At 38.6% G+C, this 21,800-nt stretch overlaps 1 protein-coding gene across 4 annotated transcripts in view; it reads right to left on the reverse strand.

The window, feature by feature from the left end:
- CRPPA (CDP-L-ribitol pyrophosphorylase A) overlaps window positions 1–21,800 on the reverse strand; it is a 334,014-nt gene that overhangs the window by 301,660 nt on the left and 10,554 nt on the right. For all 4 annotated transcript variants that reach the window (NR_160656.1, NM_001101417.4, NM_001368197.1 and 1 more), the window contains exon 2: window positions 16,877–17,153. Coding sequence is in view for 3 of the 4 variants with exons in the window: in NM_001101417.4 (NP_001094887.1) it covers window positions 16,877–17,153 (277 nt within the window). In the remaining variant the exon portion in view is untranslated. The remainder of the gene's footprint in view (window positions 1–16,876; window positions 17,154–21,800) is intronic.

A 21,800-nucleotide genomic window follows, 5' to 3' on the forward strand; every position in this document is an offset into this window, starting at 1 on the left:
GAACAGTTAATACTAATTCCTCAAACTTGTCCAAAAAATAGAGAATGCTTCCCAACTCATTCTGTAAGACCAGTATTATCCTAATACCAAAAACAAAGACTGCACAAGAAAAGAAAGCCAATTAGGGATATTAGTTTGTAAACAATGCAAAAACAGATGCAAAAATTCTCAACAAGATACCTACAAACCCAATTCAGCAACATATAAAAAAGCGTTATACACCATGACCAAGTGGGATTTATCCCAGGAATACCAGATCGGTTCAACATATCAAAAAAAAAGTCAATGTAATAAACCATGTTAATAGAATAAAGGACAAACATATGAACATGTCAATAGGTGCATAGAACTCATCTGACAAAATCCAACACCCCTTTGTGAGAAAAGCACAAAAATTAGAAACAGAAGAGATCTTGCTCAACCTGAAAAAGAGTGTTTGTGAAAAATCCACAGTTAAGATCATGCTTACTGGTAAAATACTGAGTGTTTTCCCTTTATGATCAAGAGTAAGCAAGGAAATCCACTGTTGGCCATTTCCAGTAAACACTGTAATGGGAGTCCTAGCTAGGATAATTAGGCAAGAAAATGTAATAAGCTATCCAAAAGAAGTAAAGCTATCTCTATTTGCAGATTGCATGATCCTGTATATAGAAGACACTAATGAAGTGTCTTCTAACTATTAGAAGAAGCGAGTTGTCAGCAAGGATACAGAGAACAAGCCTAGTATACAAAAAAAAAAAAAAAATATATATATATATATATATATATATATATCAGTTTACTGCTAGCATATAGAAATACAACAATCCAAAAATGAAATTTAAAAAATTCACTCACAAAAGCATTGAGAAGGCCACTTAAGAGTAAATTTAGTGAAGAAGTTCAGAAGTTACTACAAAAACTCCAAAAAAATGTCCTGGCTTCTAATGGCCAATGTCTCTACTTAGCTACTTTTACCCATTCCCTCTCAAATACGTCTCTACATTTAGTCTTCTTCTTTCTGTCCTGCCTCCTCAATTTCCAGACTTCCATTTAATTATGCTTATTAATATACAAGTATGCCATGACTTCTGCCATCATTAAATCAATTCTTTCGATATATATCTTCTTCCAGCTAATAACAAGTTTCTTCACACAAGTATAAAGCCCAACTCTGAATTATCTGTATAAGAGCACATCTCCAATTTCTGTCTTCCTATGCTTTCTGGAATCTATTTCAATCAGGCCATTATCGCCACACCACCACAAAAATACATTTAACCAAGGTCACCAATGACCCCCACGTTGCCAAATCCAATTAATAGTTCTTAGTCTTCTTGAGTGTTTGTTCACTTAGTTTTCAGAAATCATTCTCAACCACACCCTCTCATCTTCCCAAACTAACTCCTAGGTCCTTACTTTCTCAGACTGTAAATGGTAAAGTATTCCAGAGCTGCATCCTCATACTTCTCTATTGTTAAATGGGAAAAAACTTAGACAAGTTTGCATTTTAATCGAGCTTGAGCAAACAAAACCAGCAAAACAAAAATGACTTGTGAATCACACGGCCCTCCAAACCAGAGCAGTTTTGGAGAACTCCAATAACATAATCTGACAGCATTTATAGGAAATGGAAGTGCTGTGTAGAGATGACTTAATAAGTAACAGCTTAATTTAAGGTTACAGGTCCTCCTGCAATTAACTAATGCTCAGCTCCTGAAGTTAAACTCTATATTGGTTTGGTCTGTTAGGCTTAGTTCAGGAGCCTAGTCGAAGTCAATGGCCTCCTATAAATTTTATTTAACACAATCTACAGTCATTCTATTAATGACCACATGAAGTCCCATGACTTTAAACACCATCTACATGAGAACTTCCAAACCTATATATCCAGCCCAGAATTCTCTTGAATTCTGGATTTGCACTTCCAAATGCCTGTTTAACATTTCCACTTAGTTCAAAATGCATACCTCTACTGCAACAAATTGAACTCAAAGTTTTGGTATTACCCACTCCACAGCCTCCAAACCTGTTCCTACAGACGGCCATCTACACAAACATGAACTCTATTCTTCTCGTTATTCTTGCCCAAAATCTTGAATGCTGTCCTTGATTTCTCCCCCACTCTTATAATTCAGCCCATCAGTAATCCAGTCCCTGTCAACTTCAAAGTATTCCAAATCTGCCCACTTCTCACTGTCTCTGCTATCCAAGTCCAAGCCACCCATCCTCCCTCTGAGATTAGTCCAGTAGCCTCCCAATTGGTATCTCTTTCACTCTTGTCCTTCCACAGCCTATTCTTCACAAAGCAATAGAACAAACCTGTTCATGATGAGTTAGATCATGTCTCTCTTCTGTTCAAAATCTTCCAAGAGCTTTCCATCTCAAAGAACTAGTCAAGTTCCTTCCATTTAATTCAACTTAAATAACGCTAAAAAATTCAGTTCCTCATTTCCACTAGGAGCATTTTAAGTACTCAATAGCCACATGTGACTAGTAGCTTAGGTACTAGACAGTGGAGTTAGCCTATTTCCATCACTGCAGAATGTTTTATTGGACAGCAGTGCCCTAGAATGTTCACTCCATGACTGCTGTCTCTCCAGCACCTAGAAAAGTGCCTAACACATAGCATGCACTCAGTAAATAAGGGTTACATTAGTGAATCAGTGTTGTAGGTCTTAGAGATACTGATTAGGCCACACAAAGAAGTCAAAGTGTCACTAGGTAATACACATATGTCTTCATGATATTTTATACAGCAGCAGCATCTGAAGAAATTTCAAGATGAGGTCAAACCAAATCCCACTCCCTCAGTAAGACACCTAACTTGCTTCGATAGAAGCACCCTGTATTTGTAGTCTATGAACAACAATGCAAGTCTCATTCATGCCACTTAATAGCTGTGTTATTTGTAACAAGTTCATCTCTGCTTAATTAATATTCTTTTCTATTAAATGAAAAATTTTAACCAGGTATTTTATTTCAGGCCCCTTCAGCTTTAGTACTATAATATTTTATGAGGAAAGCCCCCACATGTCAAAGCTTCCAATCCAACAATTCACTCTAAGTTCTCTCAATAGCCATCATACCCCTACAGAGTAAGAGTTATGTGGTGGCAGTTTCCCAAACCAAAATAGAAATGTCAGCCTTACAAAATGGCAGAATATTATATCATCACCCATGCAGAAAACATCCATCTCAGTAGAGCGCATGGGCAAACAGTAGTCTTACATTCTTCATATTTTTGTCCTGCTTTCACACAGCTACCTAGTTCATATGATAGACTTATATTATCTGAAAGACCTAGACAACCATATTCCAAGCATTATGCTTTGCATAATGAGGAATACGCAAAATGCAATCCTTGCTCTGAAAGGGTTCAGTTTTGGTGGGAGGGAGAGGGTAGATGCACTCCCTCCGGAGACCAGTTATTAAATGCTGAAGTGCTACAAATACACTGTGAACTCGTTTCCCTCATCTCAGTTACTTGATGAATATAAGCCATTAATAAATTGCTTTTGATATTTTAACCTCACTTCCTATTATGAAAACTTCCTAATAGTTTCTCAATACTATATTCACTCATTTTTATGACTTTTAAAGAATTACGTAGTTTAAATAAAAACTTGAACACCCTCTCATACACCCAGCCTCCTCCCCTACCCAACAAACAGTGAAAAGCAGACAGGCTCACAATATTCTCTTTCCACCTGGATACTCCAAGTAAGAATCTCTTAATTACTCTATCTTTTCTCTAAAAAGTATTCTTGTACTTCTTTAAACATTTCTTGACCACTTTTTTTGTACTATGTATAAAGAAACAATCTTGTTTTAAGGATTTTAACAAATAAGATAGATCTTGTCAAGGATCTTAAAGTCTCATGAACATGACAGATTAGGAAGCCAACAACTATAAGATACAATAATGCAAAATATTGGGGGTGGAGAGCCCTGAGTTCCAGAGCAAGGTGGGAGCCTCTAACCTCCTGGAGTGGTTCTCAAATACTTGCTGGATGGATAAGTGATTGAACAAACTACTTCTTAGGAAACATTAAAAATTACCTAATAGTTTAGAATGCATATATACACAGCAATATTAATATAAGAAAATTAAACAACAGAAGTGGTTTATGAAGTATACTTAAGAACAGCAGGGAAAGGGACTTGATCTAGCAGTATGAAAAGTTATTAGAGAGCTGTCTCAATAGTGACTAAGACAGGGTACGAAAACAGACCAACAGCGTGGAAGAGAGTCCCAACAGACCCATGCTCACATAGAAACTCAATATATGACAGAAGTGGCAGTGCAGGTCAGTGGAAAAGGGGATAATTATTCAATAAATGGTGCTAGGCAAAGACTTACCTTTGTAGCAAAAGATGAAAGTGAAATCAACCCCTACTCAATCTGTAAACTCCAGAAAGAGATATCCATGTAAAATTCAAAATTATAACACATTTTTTAAAAATGGTGAATATCTTCATGACTTCAGTGTAAGAAAAAAATTTTTAAACCAGGCAAAAACAAAAACCATAAACGAAGACATTAGTGATTTTAAGTATATTAAGATTAAAAAATGCTTATTTATCACAACACATTGTGATTTTTTTAAGCATTCCGGATGAAAGAAAATAGTTATAAAACACAGCATGCACTGGCCAAAGTATTAGTGTCCAGAATATATAACTCCTACAAGTCAAAAGCTTAAAAATAAAAATAGGGTAAATTCTTACACAGGCGTTTCAATAAGAATATTTAAAGCCTATAAATATAAAAAGATGCCCAACCTATTAACAAAATGCTAAATTTAAACCACAAAGAGAAAGCATTTTCCAGTAAATAGACTGGAGGAAAGTCTAACTATATCAAGTAGTGGTGAGGACTAGGGCAACTTGAACTTCTTTTACGTTACTGATGAGTATAATTCAAGACAAGTTTGGAAAATAATTTGGCATCATCTAGTAAAGCTGATAACCTACACATGTCAGAACTGTAGAGAAATCCTTGCACATGGGCACAAGATATATAATAATATCCATACTAGTAATGTTTACATCAGCAAAAAATTAGAAAACAAATGTCCATCACCTGTAAAATGAATTACGGTATATACAGTAGTGATTACGAACAAACTATAGCTGAGTAGACTTATATGAATACATTTCCCCAAATACACTGTGCAAAGTAAGTATGCTGTCAAAATATATGCAAAGCATGTTTTAAAATCATATAAACATAGCCAAAACATTCTTCAGGAAAAGATGTTATACAACTAAAGAGAAAAGTGAGACAACAAGAAAAACAAAGTTTGGGTAATGTTTATTCATTGGGGGGATTAAATAAGACTTGGGAGGAGATAGTTTCAATGTGACTGGTGATGTTCTAACTATACCAGTAGTAGACACAGAGGTATACAAAGTTCTTCAGTAGTTTTTTAAAATTCAGAATGTGTATTCATGGGTTCCCACCTTGATTACCAAAAACTAGCTTCAAGAGCAGAAACCATCCATATTTCAGATACAATTATGGCAGGATTGGTAAATTCCACAAATTACTAGGTTCTTGTCTATGAAAGCCAGAATATCAGATGGGAAAGTTGTACAACAAGAAGAGAGATCAAAGCAAAAGGTGACAAAAAGCTTCAGGCATCTTAAACTAAAGGCCCATGAAAAGAGATCACAAGTGAAAATAACTTCTTGGCTGACTCCATCCCTTGCCTTGCCATCTGCTATAAACAGATACAGAAAATGCTCACGTTAAAAGGCATATATTCCACAGCTGTCTTTATGTAAGAGACTTCTGTTCACAAACAAACATGCAATGAAACCTCAATTTTGTGATGTTTTCTGAAATTCAAAGTATCAAAATTATGACAAGTATAAACAAGTTGGTTAGTGGCCTGCAAGGCACATCTCCCTGAGAAGCTTGTTGTAGGAGGCATCATTCCTGACTTATCAAGTACAAATGTCTCCTCAAGTACCAGTAATAAGCCCTGAATGGAAGCTTAAGGGCTCAGCACCAGCCTCAGTGATTACTTGTCTCTCAAGCTAATCTATCACCATATTTCCACATGTCACTGTATGGAAATCATTGATACAAATCATAAAATGTGGAATAATAAACCCCACCTCTACTGTTTGCTTTATTGTATAATACTATGATGCATCCATACAGCAGGCACTAACATGCATTTCTCCTCAGGCAACTGCATTCTAGCTAATTATAACAATGTACAACAGAAATCCTCCAACCATATAATTATGATTTTAGTTAGGCAAGTTGTCTTTATTGAAAGGCTTAATCAGTGTTTGCAGAACGGCATCTCTAAAGCTAATCATTGGGAATTATAAGATTGAATATTTCACATATTTAATCATAGAATACTTCTAATCTCCTTCTGACAAATAAATTGAACTAAGCTAATTTGTCCAATATAGAAACAGAGATATCTTAGAAAAATCTTTATTCATATTACTGTAGTACACCACTAAAAGTGGATATGCAGCAAAAAGGAATAGAGAGGCCTTCATTTTACATTCTACCTATAAATTCCTAAAATTTCAATAGTACCATTTACCCTCATTATAACATGATTGGGAATATACTAGGATGTTAAACATTATTTCATGTTAAACCATAGATACTGTCATCTGTCTTTCACCTACCCTTTTCCCAACTTCCTTTGAAAGTAATTCATAGAACGGAAACATAGAAGTGGGTAATTTGAAATAATTAAAGCAAAGCAAAAGCTTTTTCACATAGTAGCTTCCCCAACATCAAAAATAGATCAAGTTCCACCTCATTCCCATAGCACCTCAGAGAATAGGTCAGTCCTTGGTCCAGGCAATTTACCCTTTGTCGAAATAAACCTGGGTTTCCTTACGAACCAGAACTCACTGCATTCTCACAAGTAAAATTTCTTTAGATCCAGGATTTAAACAAGTATCAAAGTTTCTCTAGAAGACAATACTATGGTATCCAATAAGCCAGGAAAAAAACATTATCTTATCCCCATGCAGAAGCCAGGAAAAATTATTATCTTACCCCCACACATGAATAAAGCCTGACCTGAAGTATATTGATTACAATGGACAAGTACAAGTGATTATTAGCCATGGTGAATCCTACTTAATATCACATTTCCAAATACAGAGTTCAAAAATCTGCCAACTGATCAGAGAAATGCAAATCAAAACCACAATATGGTAACACCTTACTCCTGCAAGAATGGTCAAAACCAAAACCTAAAAAAAACAGTAGATGTTGGTGTGGATATGCTAAAAACGGAACACTTCTACACTGCTGGTGAGAATATATAATAGTACAACCACTACAGAAAACAGTGTGGTGACAAGATTCCTTAAAAATCTAAAAGTAGAACTACCATTTGATCCAGCAATCCCACTACTGGGTATCCAGTCTGAGGAAAAGAAGTCATTGTACGAAAAAGATACTTACACATGCATATATGTAGCAGCACAACTTGCAACTGCAAAAACATGGAACCAGCCCAAATGCCCACCAGTCAATGAGTAGATAGAGAAAATTGTGATGTATGTGTGATGGAATACATTCGTATGACATGACTGATAGAAAACGTGTGACATACATGTGAAGGAAGACGTGATATGTGTGTAACTAAAGATGTGTGGCATGTGTGATGGAATACGCTATACGTATGTGACACGTAATGGAAGATGACACATGACTGAAAGCACATGTGACAAAAATGTGACACATGTGTGAAAGACAAATGTGACATGTGTAATGAAAAAACAACTGTGACATGTGATGGAAGACACGTGTGACACTGGTGACATGTGTGACATGACTGACATGGAACTGACACGTGTGAAACATGTGCCAGAACAAATGTGTAACACATGTGACACATGGGACAGGTGGGAGAAAACACATGACATGGAAGACACACGTGTGAAATAAGACACGTGGACACACAACTGACAAGTTAGAGATGCGTGTCTGACACATTAGCAAAATGCCAATGACACGACACATTATCAAAACGTGATGGACGTGTGACACGACTGACACGTATGTGATACGAACATAACATGTAACTGACATGTACACATGACCAACACAACATGAGGGTGACACAATTGTGACAAGTCACTGACATGTAACTGACACGTGATGGACACGTGTGACATGACCAACATGTGTTACAGGTGACTGACGTGTGTAACACGTGTGACATATGACAGATGTGACAACTGACACGTAATGGACACGTGACTGACACGTGTAACGTGTGATGTAACAGACGTGACACGTGACATGTGACTCATAGTTGACATAACAGAAACATGACTGACACATAACATGTGAACATGTGACATGATCAACACAACATGTGATTGACGAAATGTGATGTGACCAATTTGACTGACATATGAGACGTGACAGATTACTGACGTGTGACACGTGACACGTGACCAACACGTGTGTGACACGTGACACATGACTGACATGTGACTAAGACGTCACCGACAAACACGTGACTGACACGTGATACATGATTGACATGCGACCAACGTTTGAGACATGTGACTGACGCGAATGACACGATTGGCACGTGATTGGCACGTGACCAACACGTCACTGACATGATTGGCACGTGTTTAACATGTGACTGACGTGATCCACAAAGGATCAACACGTAATCATCACGTGATCAACACGTGTGTAACACGTGACCAACGTGTGACCAAAGCATGTTTGACGTGACCAACACAACTGGCAGGTGATTGACACGTGATTGACACGTTTGACATGTGACTTACATGCCATTGACCTTACCACCTAACCAACATGTGACTGATGTGATTGACACATGATCAACACGTAATCAACATGTGTCACAGCTGATCGAAATGACCAGGGCATGATTGACACGTGAACAATAACATTATTGACATGACTGACAGGTGATTGACATTATTCGCACTTGACTGACACATGACATGTGAATGACACAATTGACACATGATCGGCCTGTTGCCAACATGACACGTGATCAAGACATGATCTACATGTAATAACGTGACTGACACGTGACCAACACGTGACTCACACGTGACCAGTGCATGATTGACAAGACAAACACGTGACTGACAGGTAATTCACGTGATAAACACATGATCAATACGTTATCAACACGTGTGACATGTGACAGAGGCAAGACCAGGGCATGATTGACATGTGACTGACACGTGACCAACATAAGTGATTCACACATGATTGACGTGACCGAGGTTTGTGACACGTGACTCACGTGTGCGATTGACATGATTGGCACATGACCTATATCATTGGCACGTGATTGGCATAGGTCCAAAATGTGACAAATGATCGACATAAGTGACACGTGATCGTCAAGTGATCGACACGTGTGGCACGTGACTGACGTTGCTACAGCATGATTGACACATCACCAACATGACTGACACGTGACAAACATCACTGAAACATGGACAGCTTTGTGACACGTGACATGTGACTGACACGATTGGCATCTAATCAACACGTGGGTGACACGTGACCAACACTTAACCAATGCCTGACATGTGACAAACACGTGATACGTGACTGACACTTGACTGACACGTGATTAACATGATTGAAACGTGACCAATACGTTTGACACGTGACTGACGCGATTTACGTAACTGGCATGTGTCCAACACGTGACTCACACGTGATCAGCACATGTCCAACAAGTGACTGACACATGATCGAGTCGTTACTGACACGTGATCATCACGTAATCAACACGTGACACCTGACCAGCCCATGGCCGGAATGTGATTGACACTTGACTGACACAATTGACATGTGACCAACACGTTTAGGACAGGTGACAAGCGATTCACAATTGGTGCATGACCAACACGTGACTGACACATGATAGACGTGATCGTCATTTTGGGTCAGCACGTGACATTTCACCAATGTGTGACCAAAGCATGATTGACACATGAACACGTGACATGACACGATTCACACGACTGACATGACCAACACATTTGTGACACTAGACACGTGATTGACAGGATTGAATCGCACAGGTCCAACATGTGACTGACACGATACACATACGATTGACGTGTGATCAACACGTGTGACACGTGACCAACACGTGACCAGAGTGTGATTGACACATGACTGACATGATTGACGTGACACATTTGTGACACGATTGAAGTGATTGGCATGTGACACCTTTGTGACATGTGACAAGTGACAAGATTGGCACATGTCCAACATGTGACTGATACGAGATTGACAAGACGTTTGATCAACACATGTGACTCGTGACCAACGTGACCAGAGCATGATTGACACGTGACTGACACGAGATTGACATGAATGACATGACACGTTTGTGACATGTGACAAGCGACTTACACGATTGGCATGTGTCCAACACGTGACTGACCCGATCGACACATGATCGACATGTAATCAACGTGTGACACGTGGCCGACGCATGACCAGTGACACGTGAGCAACACGTGACCAACATGACTGACATGACTGACATATGATTGACATGTAACTGACACGTTTCTCACAAGTGACAAGTGGCTGACATGCTTGGCACGTGACCAACACGTGACTGACACTTGATCGTCACGTGATCAGCACGTGTGGCACATGACAGACACCTGATTGACACATGACTAACACGTGACATTGACTCATGATCGTTATGTGATCAACACGTGTGTGACAGGCGTGTTATGTGACCATATGTGACACGTGACTGACATGGCTTACATGTGACACGATTGACACGTGACTGACGCATTTGACATGTGACTGACTCGCGAATGACATGATTAGTACGTGACGAATACACAACACGTGATTGGCACGTGATCGGCAACGTGTATGACATGACTGTCACGTGACTGGAGTGTGATACATGACCAACACGTGACCAACATGGTTGACACGTGATTGACATGATTGACGTGATGACACGTTTGTGACGTGACTGACACGATTGAAACATGGTTGGCATGTGTCCAACACGTGGCTGACACAAGATCTACACATGATCAACACGTGATTGTCACGTGATTACCTGTGTGACATGACCAATGAGACACGGAACATGATTGACACTTGACCAACACCTGATAGACACGTGATTGACATGATTGACACATGACCAACACGTTTGTGACACACTGACCTGGTTGACAGGCCTGGCACATGACTAACAGGTGACTGACATATGATCGACTTGTGATCAACACTTGTGTGACACATGACCGACACCTGATTGACCCATGACCAACATGTATAACACCCGAACGACACGACTGGCACATGATTGACACTACTGACACGTCGACACGATCGACACTTGACTGACACATTTGTGACACACAATTGACACGATTGGCATGTGATCAACACAACCGACATGATGTGATCGAGTCATTTTTGACACGTGACTGACACGTGTCCATAACCAACTTGTGAGATACATAACCAACTCGTGTATGACACGTTACACGTTTGTGACACGTGACCAACACCTGTGACGTGGCACATGACCAATATGTGTGATGGAAGACGTGGACACATGCCCAACATATGCCCAACACATGCCTGACACGTGTGTGACATTTATAAAAGTTATACCTTTGTAATTACAGTTTTAATTACAAAGGATACAACTGCTAAATGAAGAGACACAGGGTGAGGTCTGGGGGAATCCTAAAGCTTTTATGCCTTGTCTCCATGGAATCAGGGTACACCACCCTCCCAGCACAGCCCTGTGTTCAATAACCAGGTAGCTCTCCTGGACCAGGGTCCAGAGTTTGAGGTTTCATGATAGAGGCATGACTAATTCAATCACTGGCCACCTGCTTGAACTCAATCTTCAGCCCCTTTCCTGTCCCCAGAGGCTGAGCTGGTTCAAAGCCTCTAATCACATTACTTCATCTTTCTGGTGACCAGCCCACTTCCTAAATCATGTTTTCTCATTAGCATAAGCTCAGGTATAATCCAAGGAGCTCATAAATAACAGACTCTCCTGTTACTTCAGCAATCCCAAAGATTTAGAGTCTTCCTCCCAGGAACCTGGAATAAAGAGCAAATTCTTTATTATTCAACAGACTGAAATGCACTTTTAATATGGGAATTAGGTAGTCACAGGTGATTTTGGAAAGAATGGTCAGAGGAAAAATTAGCCAGACTGCTATGATTTATAACATAAATTAGGGGTATGCAAGGTGAGAAGTGTGTAAGAAGTTGATCACCAACAAGAGCATAAAATGACTAGAGGTGCTGGAGTACAAAGCTGAGGTAAGAAGGATATACCAGTAACTTAGAAAATGCCTTCTTCCACCAGGAGCAATACTTAGGAGGTTGCTTTGTTGATGCAGTCTCATTTGAGTCATCCTATTGTTAGTGTTCTTAGAGTCAATGTAATATTTAACGTGTTGGTCCTTCTTAAAATTATTCTCACTTACCTTTGATTTCTCCACATTCCAACTTACTTTACTCTTTCCAACATTTCCCTTATAACAAAGTCCTCATTGCCACTTCTTTATCTGACTTAATTACGCAGAAATATACAAGTCCTTCTGACTTAGAAAAGATTACGGACCTCTAATTTTGGTAATATGGTAGACTGGGTATCTTGAAACACCTCTTTCATTAAAAAAATATATATATAGGAGAGAATTTTACAAACAGCCTTTTAAGAGTATGTCTGGACTCAAACAATCACCTAAGAGTAAAACAACCTGATAGTTAGCAATCAGAGAAATAAGATGGCAGAGATGCTTTCAGTTAACAAGAGGCTTTAGTTTTAACAGATGAGGAAGAATGAGGACTAAGACCTTGAGCGTGTGCTACTTGATTAGAACTGTAATTTCCACACTAAGACCCATAAAAGGGAAAGTCCCTCATTTAAAAGGTAGCTGGGGCAGGGGAGGAGAGACACTCACAAGTGAAGGAAAACAGCAAGCAAAATTATCTTGGCTTGGGATCTTGAAGGGCAGGGACAGTTTTCCCTGAGAAGTTACAACAGTAAGCTTGGTTTCATGTGAGTTTGGAGTTTCATTTAACATTACCACAGAATCTATAAAACTTCAAGCCAAGAATTAATGTAAAGTTGTTCCAAGTTAGTAAAGCCCCTGGGATTTCTGGCAGAAGGAACAAAAATCCTTGCCTCAGAAACACACCCTTATCCCATGTTTACAGAAATCCTGATGATAAAGTCTTGCCAAACATGGGCTTACAATCCAAATTATAAAACAAAGGAGGAAACAAATTATGAACAAAAGTAAACAGAAATGAAGAGTTAGTGAATTAAACGACCAAGAAGTACTATTGGCTATAGTGTATAAAGTATTATGTTCAGAGCTTAAAAGGCAATAGAAGATAAAAAACAGAAAGGAGATTAATCGTACATGATAAGGGACAAAATGGGACTCCAAATAATTTTTAAATGTTTGTTTTAAAAGTCCTTAAACAGGATATTAGACAGAGCTAAAAAAAAAAAAATGAGAAATTGGAAACAAGTTACCTAGGATGCAGCATACAAAAACAGCAATATGAAAGAGAACTTAGGACACATGAGGACTGGATAAGAGTGTATCATATATACAGTATACATAAGGTAAGGGGAAAAGAGTTGTCAGGACCAGAAATGGGCAGAATCAATATTCAAATTAGATAATTATTCAGATTTTTCTAGAATAAAAATATGAATCAATGTTCATAAAGGACAATAAATCCAAAGCAAGGGAAAAAGTCTATACAGACACATCACAGAGACTAAACAACACATAGGAAAAATAAATTATCTAAGCATTCAGAGAGAAAAGGCAAATTACTTTCAAAGGATTACAATTAGGTTGGTTAGACTTCCCAAAAGCAATATTAAAGCCAGGAGACAGTGACATAACCTAATTTCAAAATAGTGAGGGGGGGAAAAAAACAGTTGTAGACTTAGAATTTTATACCCAGAAAAACTATCATCATTAAAGTAAGACAGAAATAACCCTGATGGAATTTTGCTCCCGAACTTATGGAAGCCATCTTGCCTCCCTGTAGGGCCTGACAATGTAATACAGGCAAAAAGAAAAACTGGGTCCTTGTGATGCTTTTGAGCTCTACAACCTTAATGCCAGCCTTAATCGTGGATATCTGAGTCTCTTGAGGCATTCTCTTTACCAGTTTAAGTTTTTTTAATTAAGCAAAATGGAAAGTCAGTTAAAATAGAGTTATTGTTAGCATACATAACCCACCCCTCCCCCTAAAGATAATCACAGTGTAGCTTGTTCAGAAAATGTGTGTGAAGGGGACCTTTAGGTAGAACCTGAAAATTAATACCTAGGAAGAAAAAATAATCAGTTAAGGAGTCTGTAGAAAACTATCTAAGACAACAAAAGGCAATGAGTTAAAAGCAGGCCTGGAAAACAGTCTGAACGGTGTGTGACTGCATTTATGTTTTTATGATAGTAAGTCAGTACAGTGAGAGAACTGGCAGGACATAGTGCCTGGAGTTAACTGAGAATACTGGGACACTATCCTAATTGTTTTAAGAAAATCTAAAACAAACCAAAAAGGTTACAGGATGTCTGCAATGGACAACTACATGACTAAGAGCAGACTCTTCCAGATTAGCTGAATCTAGCCTTGAGCTGCTCTTTTACAGCTTTCAAAGTTGTAGATAACCAATAGCAATGCAAAACAATTCTTGCCTATAAACATGCAAATGAATTTTGTCTATTGGAGTTTCAACTGACTCCACCATAAAAAAGCCAGTTTTCTGTTTTAATTCACTTCAACATACCTTTTTACTTTGTATAAATAAGTGCTTTTCTGGATTCAACTTTGAACCAGTTGTAACATCTGTCTGGTTCTCTCATTAATAAACTTGAAAAAATTCTTAAACATGGATGTATATAAAACTCATGATTTTACCCTTTATGTTTTAACACCAACAAAAACAAGGCAATATTTCTAAAAGAAACTGTATTTCTGAGGTTTCCTTAAACAAGTTGTAAAGTTTTGTTCTGAACCAGCTTCTTAATCTAATCAGAAAATTACAGATTTCACTGAAATATACTTTGTTTCATTTAAGATGCATTATGTGATTAAATCTTACAAATTATATTCTAAGAAACAATCTAATAGGAACTCCCTCAAATCTGCAAAAAGTAACTGCTATGTATTTTAATATGTTCTATTAAATCACATGTAAGACAATGATATACTTAGCATATTAATTGGAGCAAGATAAAAGACTTCTTTTGCCTTTTACAACATACTCTCAGAAGACTCACTTTATGGACAATATCTCAGAAATACTTTCTGCTTATTACTCAACAACAACAAAAAAAATTGCAAATGTGTGCAATTGTTATAGTGAGCTTAAGTGAATTTTCCAAAAGGTAACACAGGCAAAAAAAAAAAAAAAATTGTGTATAATATGCGTTGCAATGAATGCCCATCTACCAAATTGTATTGTCATCCCTAAGAACTCTTCCAAATGTGCAAAATTTACTCAAATTCTTAAGTTGTAAATCCTCTGCTTCTTTATGCCTTCTCACCACCCTTGCAACTGATTACCTTGCCTCTACCACAATTGAGCTGTCTGGAGAAGAGGAAGGAGTCAAGGGGGAAGCACAAGATCCAGGGGAAAGTTTTGTGGTCATTAATGGTTCCTGGACCACAAGTTTCACTACCTTAAATACCATTTATCCTTTTGTTTAAAGGCAAATCAAAATATTTCATTTGGTCTATGAAATTCTTACACAGTTTTAAATTTAAAGTGAAATTCATGTTGCAGAAGGAAGAGATGAAGTTAGGGAAAATTTCCTACGGCAATTCAAATACACATGGGTTATTGAAGTTATAGACTGTCTTTCCTAAATAGGTTTTAAAGGGGAAAAAAAAAAAAGCTTCTGGGCACCCAGATGGCTAGGAAGGCTTGCTTCCTGTTGGCCTATAATCTTAGAGGAAACTATTACATAGATGTTATAATTCATCTTAAAATAATACCCTTTAAGCACTTATTATTAATACCCTTTAAGCACTTAGTATTCTAATAGCTAACATAATTTCCAATCCTAAAATGACCTTACAAGTATTATTTTTTATATTTTCACAGGTAGGGAAAATGGACTCAGAAAGTTAAAAACACGACATCACTAGTAAATAAAAAGACAGATTTGGACCTAGGTCTGTCCAACTTCATAGCCTATTTCTATTATATAATACCATCGCTTGGCAATAAATTTCACTAAGTCTCCAATTTAGACTGCAAAAAAGTTTAGTATCTATTACCATATTTATATAATTTTACTTGGTAATAGAAGGAAAAAAATAAACATGCTCCAAAGATTACAATAGGTCTTTTGCTATCCTGTGTTTATTTTGGTGAAGCAAATGGAAACAATTGTCATCTCAAGATGATTTACTTTAAGGTCTATGAAAATCTTATATAGTATATACTAGAAAACAAACCACTTCGAAACTAACACAAAATTGAGTACAATGGACCATATTATACATATCCTTTACTTCTGAGAGATTTCTCTGGCATTTTTAATATAACTGCCTTTTAATTTTCATTAAAGTTTCATTTATATCTATACTGTAATAACATTAATACATTCTTCTCCAAATACCTCATATCACATTATGGTAGATGACTATAGCAAAAGATATGTTCCAGAACAGTCTCAATCTATAAAGTTACTACAACAAATCACCATAACATCTTTAGGTCATCATGCACATTTTAAATAATTTGACATTTAAACAGAATTGAATCAAAATTCAGCAAATGAACCACACTACAGTGCTTGTCCCTTCTATCTAGACTCAAGAAAAAAGACTTACCCCGTGTTCCTTAGCAGCTGTGACAACTTTAAGAAGGACACCTTCCTCAACAAATGGTCTCACAGCATCATGGATAATCACTACTTCTGGCTTAGAGAGTTTAGAGTTGATCTGATCTTCTGCCAGTGCTTTTAGTCCATTGAAAATTGACCTGTGGCGGGTCACTCCAGCTTCGACCAGTGAGATGCGTTTATGCTGATACTTCTGAATAATACTTTTCATTACTTCCATGTTCTCTCCAGTTACTGCCACAACAATGTCCTTTATCCAACATACTCTAAAAGGAAAGTATATGTACAATTCGTAAATTAATTCTTAGACAACTAAAGTGAGTAACAGAAAATTGAATCACTAGTATTGGTATATTTAAATAGGGAGATTAAAAACTGCAAGTTAATAAAACAGTTTTATGCATTCTCGTTAGGTCCAGTAAAGAGGCTGATGAAAAAGAATCAGTGAGCATTTAACACTATAGCTCTAGATAGTGTTTCATATTACATAGAATATCTTACATGATATAGTAAATGTACATAGTATATAGTACTACCAGATGTCATTTTTTACTTAAATTTGAATAATTAGAATATAGATTGTATGAAAAAATAGTCTATAGTTGGGATATGCTTTTAAATTTTTCCAAATACTTTTCCCTTCAATGAGACAATTGAAAGCACTTTTGAGATCTAAAAGTTGACTGTCTCTTTCAAGAATTCCACCAAGTTGGCAGCCAACCACTTGAATACCAACAAAGCTGGAAAACTTAGCTAACACAAGCCTTGCTAAATACGTACCTTAAATGGGAGAAACCGTTATAATTAATATTGTAGCAATAAGGTTTAAGTAAAGTGGAAAAGCTTACAATTCATGAAATAGGATTGTTCTATTGAGTCATATACAAAGCATAAAGCAATGTTTCTCTTGTAAAACATTTTCAAGACAGAGTCTCACTCTGTGCCCCATGCTGGAATACAGTGGCACCATCTCAGTTCACTGCAACCTCTGCCTCCTGGGTTCAAACGATTCTCGTGCCTCAGCCTTCCAAGTAGCTGGGATTACAGACACCCGCCACCATGCCCAGCTAGTGTTTGTATTTTTTTAGTAGAGATAGGGTTTCATGATGTTGCCCAGGCTAGTCTTCAACTCCTGACCTCAGGTGACCCACCCACCTCAGCCTCCCAAAGTGTTGGGATTATAGGCATGAGCCACCAAGCCCAGCCTGTAAAACATTTTCTTGAGGGACCTACTGACATACTAGACTGCAAGTAGTCCACATTAGTGAGTTGCTGCTGCATTAGAGTCTGGCAGACTTGTCTGGAACACCACTGCTAATGGAGGCAAGCATCACTGTAGAGTCAATATACCACAGCCCAAAAGCCCAAACCAAGACAACGGTCTCTGACCCATGATACGAATTCTGAACAAAGACTTAATTTTTAATTCTTAGCCTATGAGATCCTATACTTTCATGCTAAAACAGTTAAGTCTTTAGAATATTTTTAAAGATATGGAAGGGCCTGAAAATTACTGCATAAAGATTACCTTTACTGAAAAATGAAGTTAACATTGGGTTGCCTCACCCAGTAATGTCTCCTACCTCTTGTTATCGAACAGACCCTTTCCACAACCAAAAACCCCATTCTGCCTGTAGCTAAAAGAAGACTACACTGATGAACAAAACCAAGAGCTACTTTATAGGTGATACTGCCTTTTCATTTTAAGCCCATTTCTTTAATATTTATTGAGCACTGAGACATTATCAGCATCGGCCGGGCATGGTGGCTCATGCCTGTAATCCCAGCACTTTGGGAGGCTGAGGCAGGTGGATCACTTGAGATCAGGAGTTCGAGACCAGCCTGGCCAACATAGTGAAACTCCGTCTCTACCAAAAATATAAAAAATCAACCAGGTGTAGTGGCACGCAACTGTAATCCCAGCTACTCGAGAGGCTGAGGCAAGAGAATCACTTGAACCCAGGAGGCAGAAGTTGAAATGAGCCAAGATCATGCCACTGTACTCTAGCCTGGGCGACAGAGCAGGACTCTGTCTTTAAAAAAAAAAAAATAAAAAAATAACTTATCAGCATCGAGGATACAACAGAAATAAGCGCTCAGAACTTACAGACATGAAACAAAAACACCGATCAACAATTGCAAGCTGTGATTAAACACAATGAAGAAGTCCACGTTCAAGACAGCATGTAGGCTGAGTAGCTAAACAGTCTGGAGGAGACTTTGGGGGCATTCTCCAAGAAAAGGGAGTTTGCACTGAGACACAAGGGATGGGTGGCAGGTAAGCAGGCAAACAGGCTAGGAGAGAAGGAGAGAGGACTGGTCCAAGTAAAGGCCATGGCAAGGTCCTCATGGGCTGGGAGGAAGCGGAGCTGGAGTTCCCCGAGCAAGGAGAAGGCCCCATGCAGAGCCTTGGAGGCCCAGGCAGGAGGTGGGCAGTATCCTAGGGGTTTTAAACTTTAATCCTAAAAAGAGGATAGGCAGCCATAGAAAAGCTTTAAGCAGGTGAGTGCAGTCAGGGCAAAAACCAATACTCACTCATCACATTCTAATAGGAGTTTTTGGTAAACATAATAATGAACCCAGAAAGATGTGCACTTTCTTACTCATGAAACCTGTGACTATGTTACCTTAAATGGCAAACAGGACTTTGCAGAGGTGATTAAGGATTTTGAAATATGGAGATGGTCCTGAATTATCTAGGTGGATCCAACGTAATCACAAGAGTCCTTATAAAGGAAAGGAGGTCGCAGGAGAGTCACTGGAGAAGATGTGATGACAGAAGCAGATGTCAGACTGATGCAGGGCCTCAAGCCAAAGAGCATGAGTGGCCTCTACAATTTTATTTTTTGAGACAGAGTCTCACTCTGTCACCCAGGCTGGAGTGCAGTGGCACAATCTTGGCTCACTGCAACCTCTGACTCCCAAGTTCAAGCAATTCTCCTGCCTCAGCCTCCCAAGTAGCTGGGATTACAGGCACCTGCCACCACACATAGCTAATTTTTGTATTTTTAGTAGAGATGAGGTTTCGCCATACTGGCCAGGCTGGTCTCTAACTCCTGACCTCAGGTGATCCACCCACCTCAACCTCCCAAAGTGCTGGAATTATAGAAGTGAACCCCATGCATGGCCAGCCTCTAGAATTTAGAGAAAGGCGAGGAAATGGATACTCCCCCAAATCTTCCAGAAGGAATGCAGTTTTGCCAACACCTTGACACAGCTCAGTGAAACTAAATTGAGACTTCTGACCTCCAAAATTGTAAGAGAATGTGGTTTTAAGCCATTCAGTTTGTGGTAATTTTTATAGCAGCAATAGGAATCACAAGAGCATAAATTTTACTCTGGCTGCAGGGAGGAGAAAGGATTCAGCAAAGAGAGAAAGGATGCAGAGAGACCAGGTAGGAGGTGGCTGCTGTAATCTGGGCAATGCAATGATGGTCGCCTGGGTACCAGGTGGAGCTTGTATATGGCGTTTTAGAGATAGTCTATTCTAGAAGTAATCATCTACATGAGTCAGGAAGAAAAAGTGGCAAAATAATACAAGTATCACATAATAATAGCCAATATAAATTAAGCACTATGTCTTAAGCATTTTTTATATTTTAGCTCTTGCAATCTTTACAATACTTCTACACGATCTCTCATACAAGAGACAAAAAGATCCGAATATACAAAGACATTACATTACTTTTTTCTATACTACCATCTTATTCTAAAAATGAAGCAATAAGAAATTTTTACCATTTTTCAAGATAATACAACATTTCATTTTATTTCCTCTTCTAGAATGTAGGCTCCATATAGAGACAATGTCTGTTTTGTCCATTGCCTTACACCTAACTCTTAGTGGGTGCTCAGTACATTATTTGTTGAAAAAATGACTAGTCAGTCTCATCTACTGGGGGCAGTATAACATCTTACAACACAGCATAGTCTCAAGGACTGTGAAAACAAAGGAGGCTCTCATTACCCTGACTAGCTACAAATATATAAATAAATCTAAGAATGAAAACAGCATTCCCTATGCAGTGTGATTTTGTTGATAGTTTTGTTTCTAGGTATTTGACCCTCTGCTCTGGTTTCTAGGTCCTAAGGCTCCTTGAGAGCTGGGATTACTTTCATATTTCACACACCTTGGGAGGATGTTTATCACAATCAAAAATAATTCACTTCAGAACTCCAAAGAACAATCTGTAGTAAACTGTACAGGCAATGAAAGTGATTCTGGAATAAGACTAAACGTGGGTTGTTCTTTGTTTTGTAGCCCATTTCCTAGGCCTTTCATTGCAAATTTAGCAACTGCAGAACTTAGACTGCACTCACAGTTTCAAATTAAAGTTATTAGCAAGTGGTGAGTGACAGTTCTTCAATCCCTCTTAAATGTGGGATTTCCCAAGATTCTGGCTCTACTGCCACGGCTGTGACCCAAACGGTCATCTCTACCATAATTTACTGCACTAGCCCCTCAGCTGTTTCCTCTTACTCTTCTTAACCCAATACAATCCATTCTCACCACTTCTGGATGATCTTTCTCAAGCACAAATCTGAGGTCATCCCCTGCTGGCTCTCGAGCAAGACCCTTCAAGACCTGACCTCAGCCTACTTCATGCACATCACTTGGTCTCTTCCATGCCCTCTTACTCTCATACCCAACTACTCCCTGAAGGGAAGGCATCTCTCATACTCAGGTATTTGCATGTGCTGCTTACCTGGCCTCTCAACACTGTCCCCATCCCTCTCTCCTCCCTAACTGCCCCTACTCCCCGCCAGCCCTGCCCGAGTCTTTCATACTCATCAGTTCTGACTTCAGAGATGGCTCCCTCCAGGAAGCTTTCCCTGACTGCCATTCTGCATACAACATCCCTGCTTCTCAGCTTGCAGAGTGCTTATACACGTAGAGTCCTAAGGACTATACT

This window comes from Homo sapiens, chromosome 7 (assembly GCF_000001405.40).
Source record: "Homo sapiens chromosome 7, GRCh38.p14 Primary Assembly".
Taxonomy (NCBI): domain Eukaryota; kingdom Metazoa; phylum Chordata; class Mammalia; order Primates; family Hominidae; genus Homo; species Homo sapiens.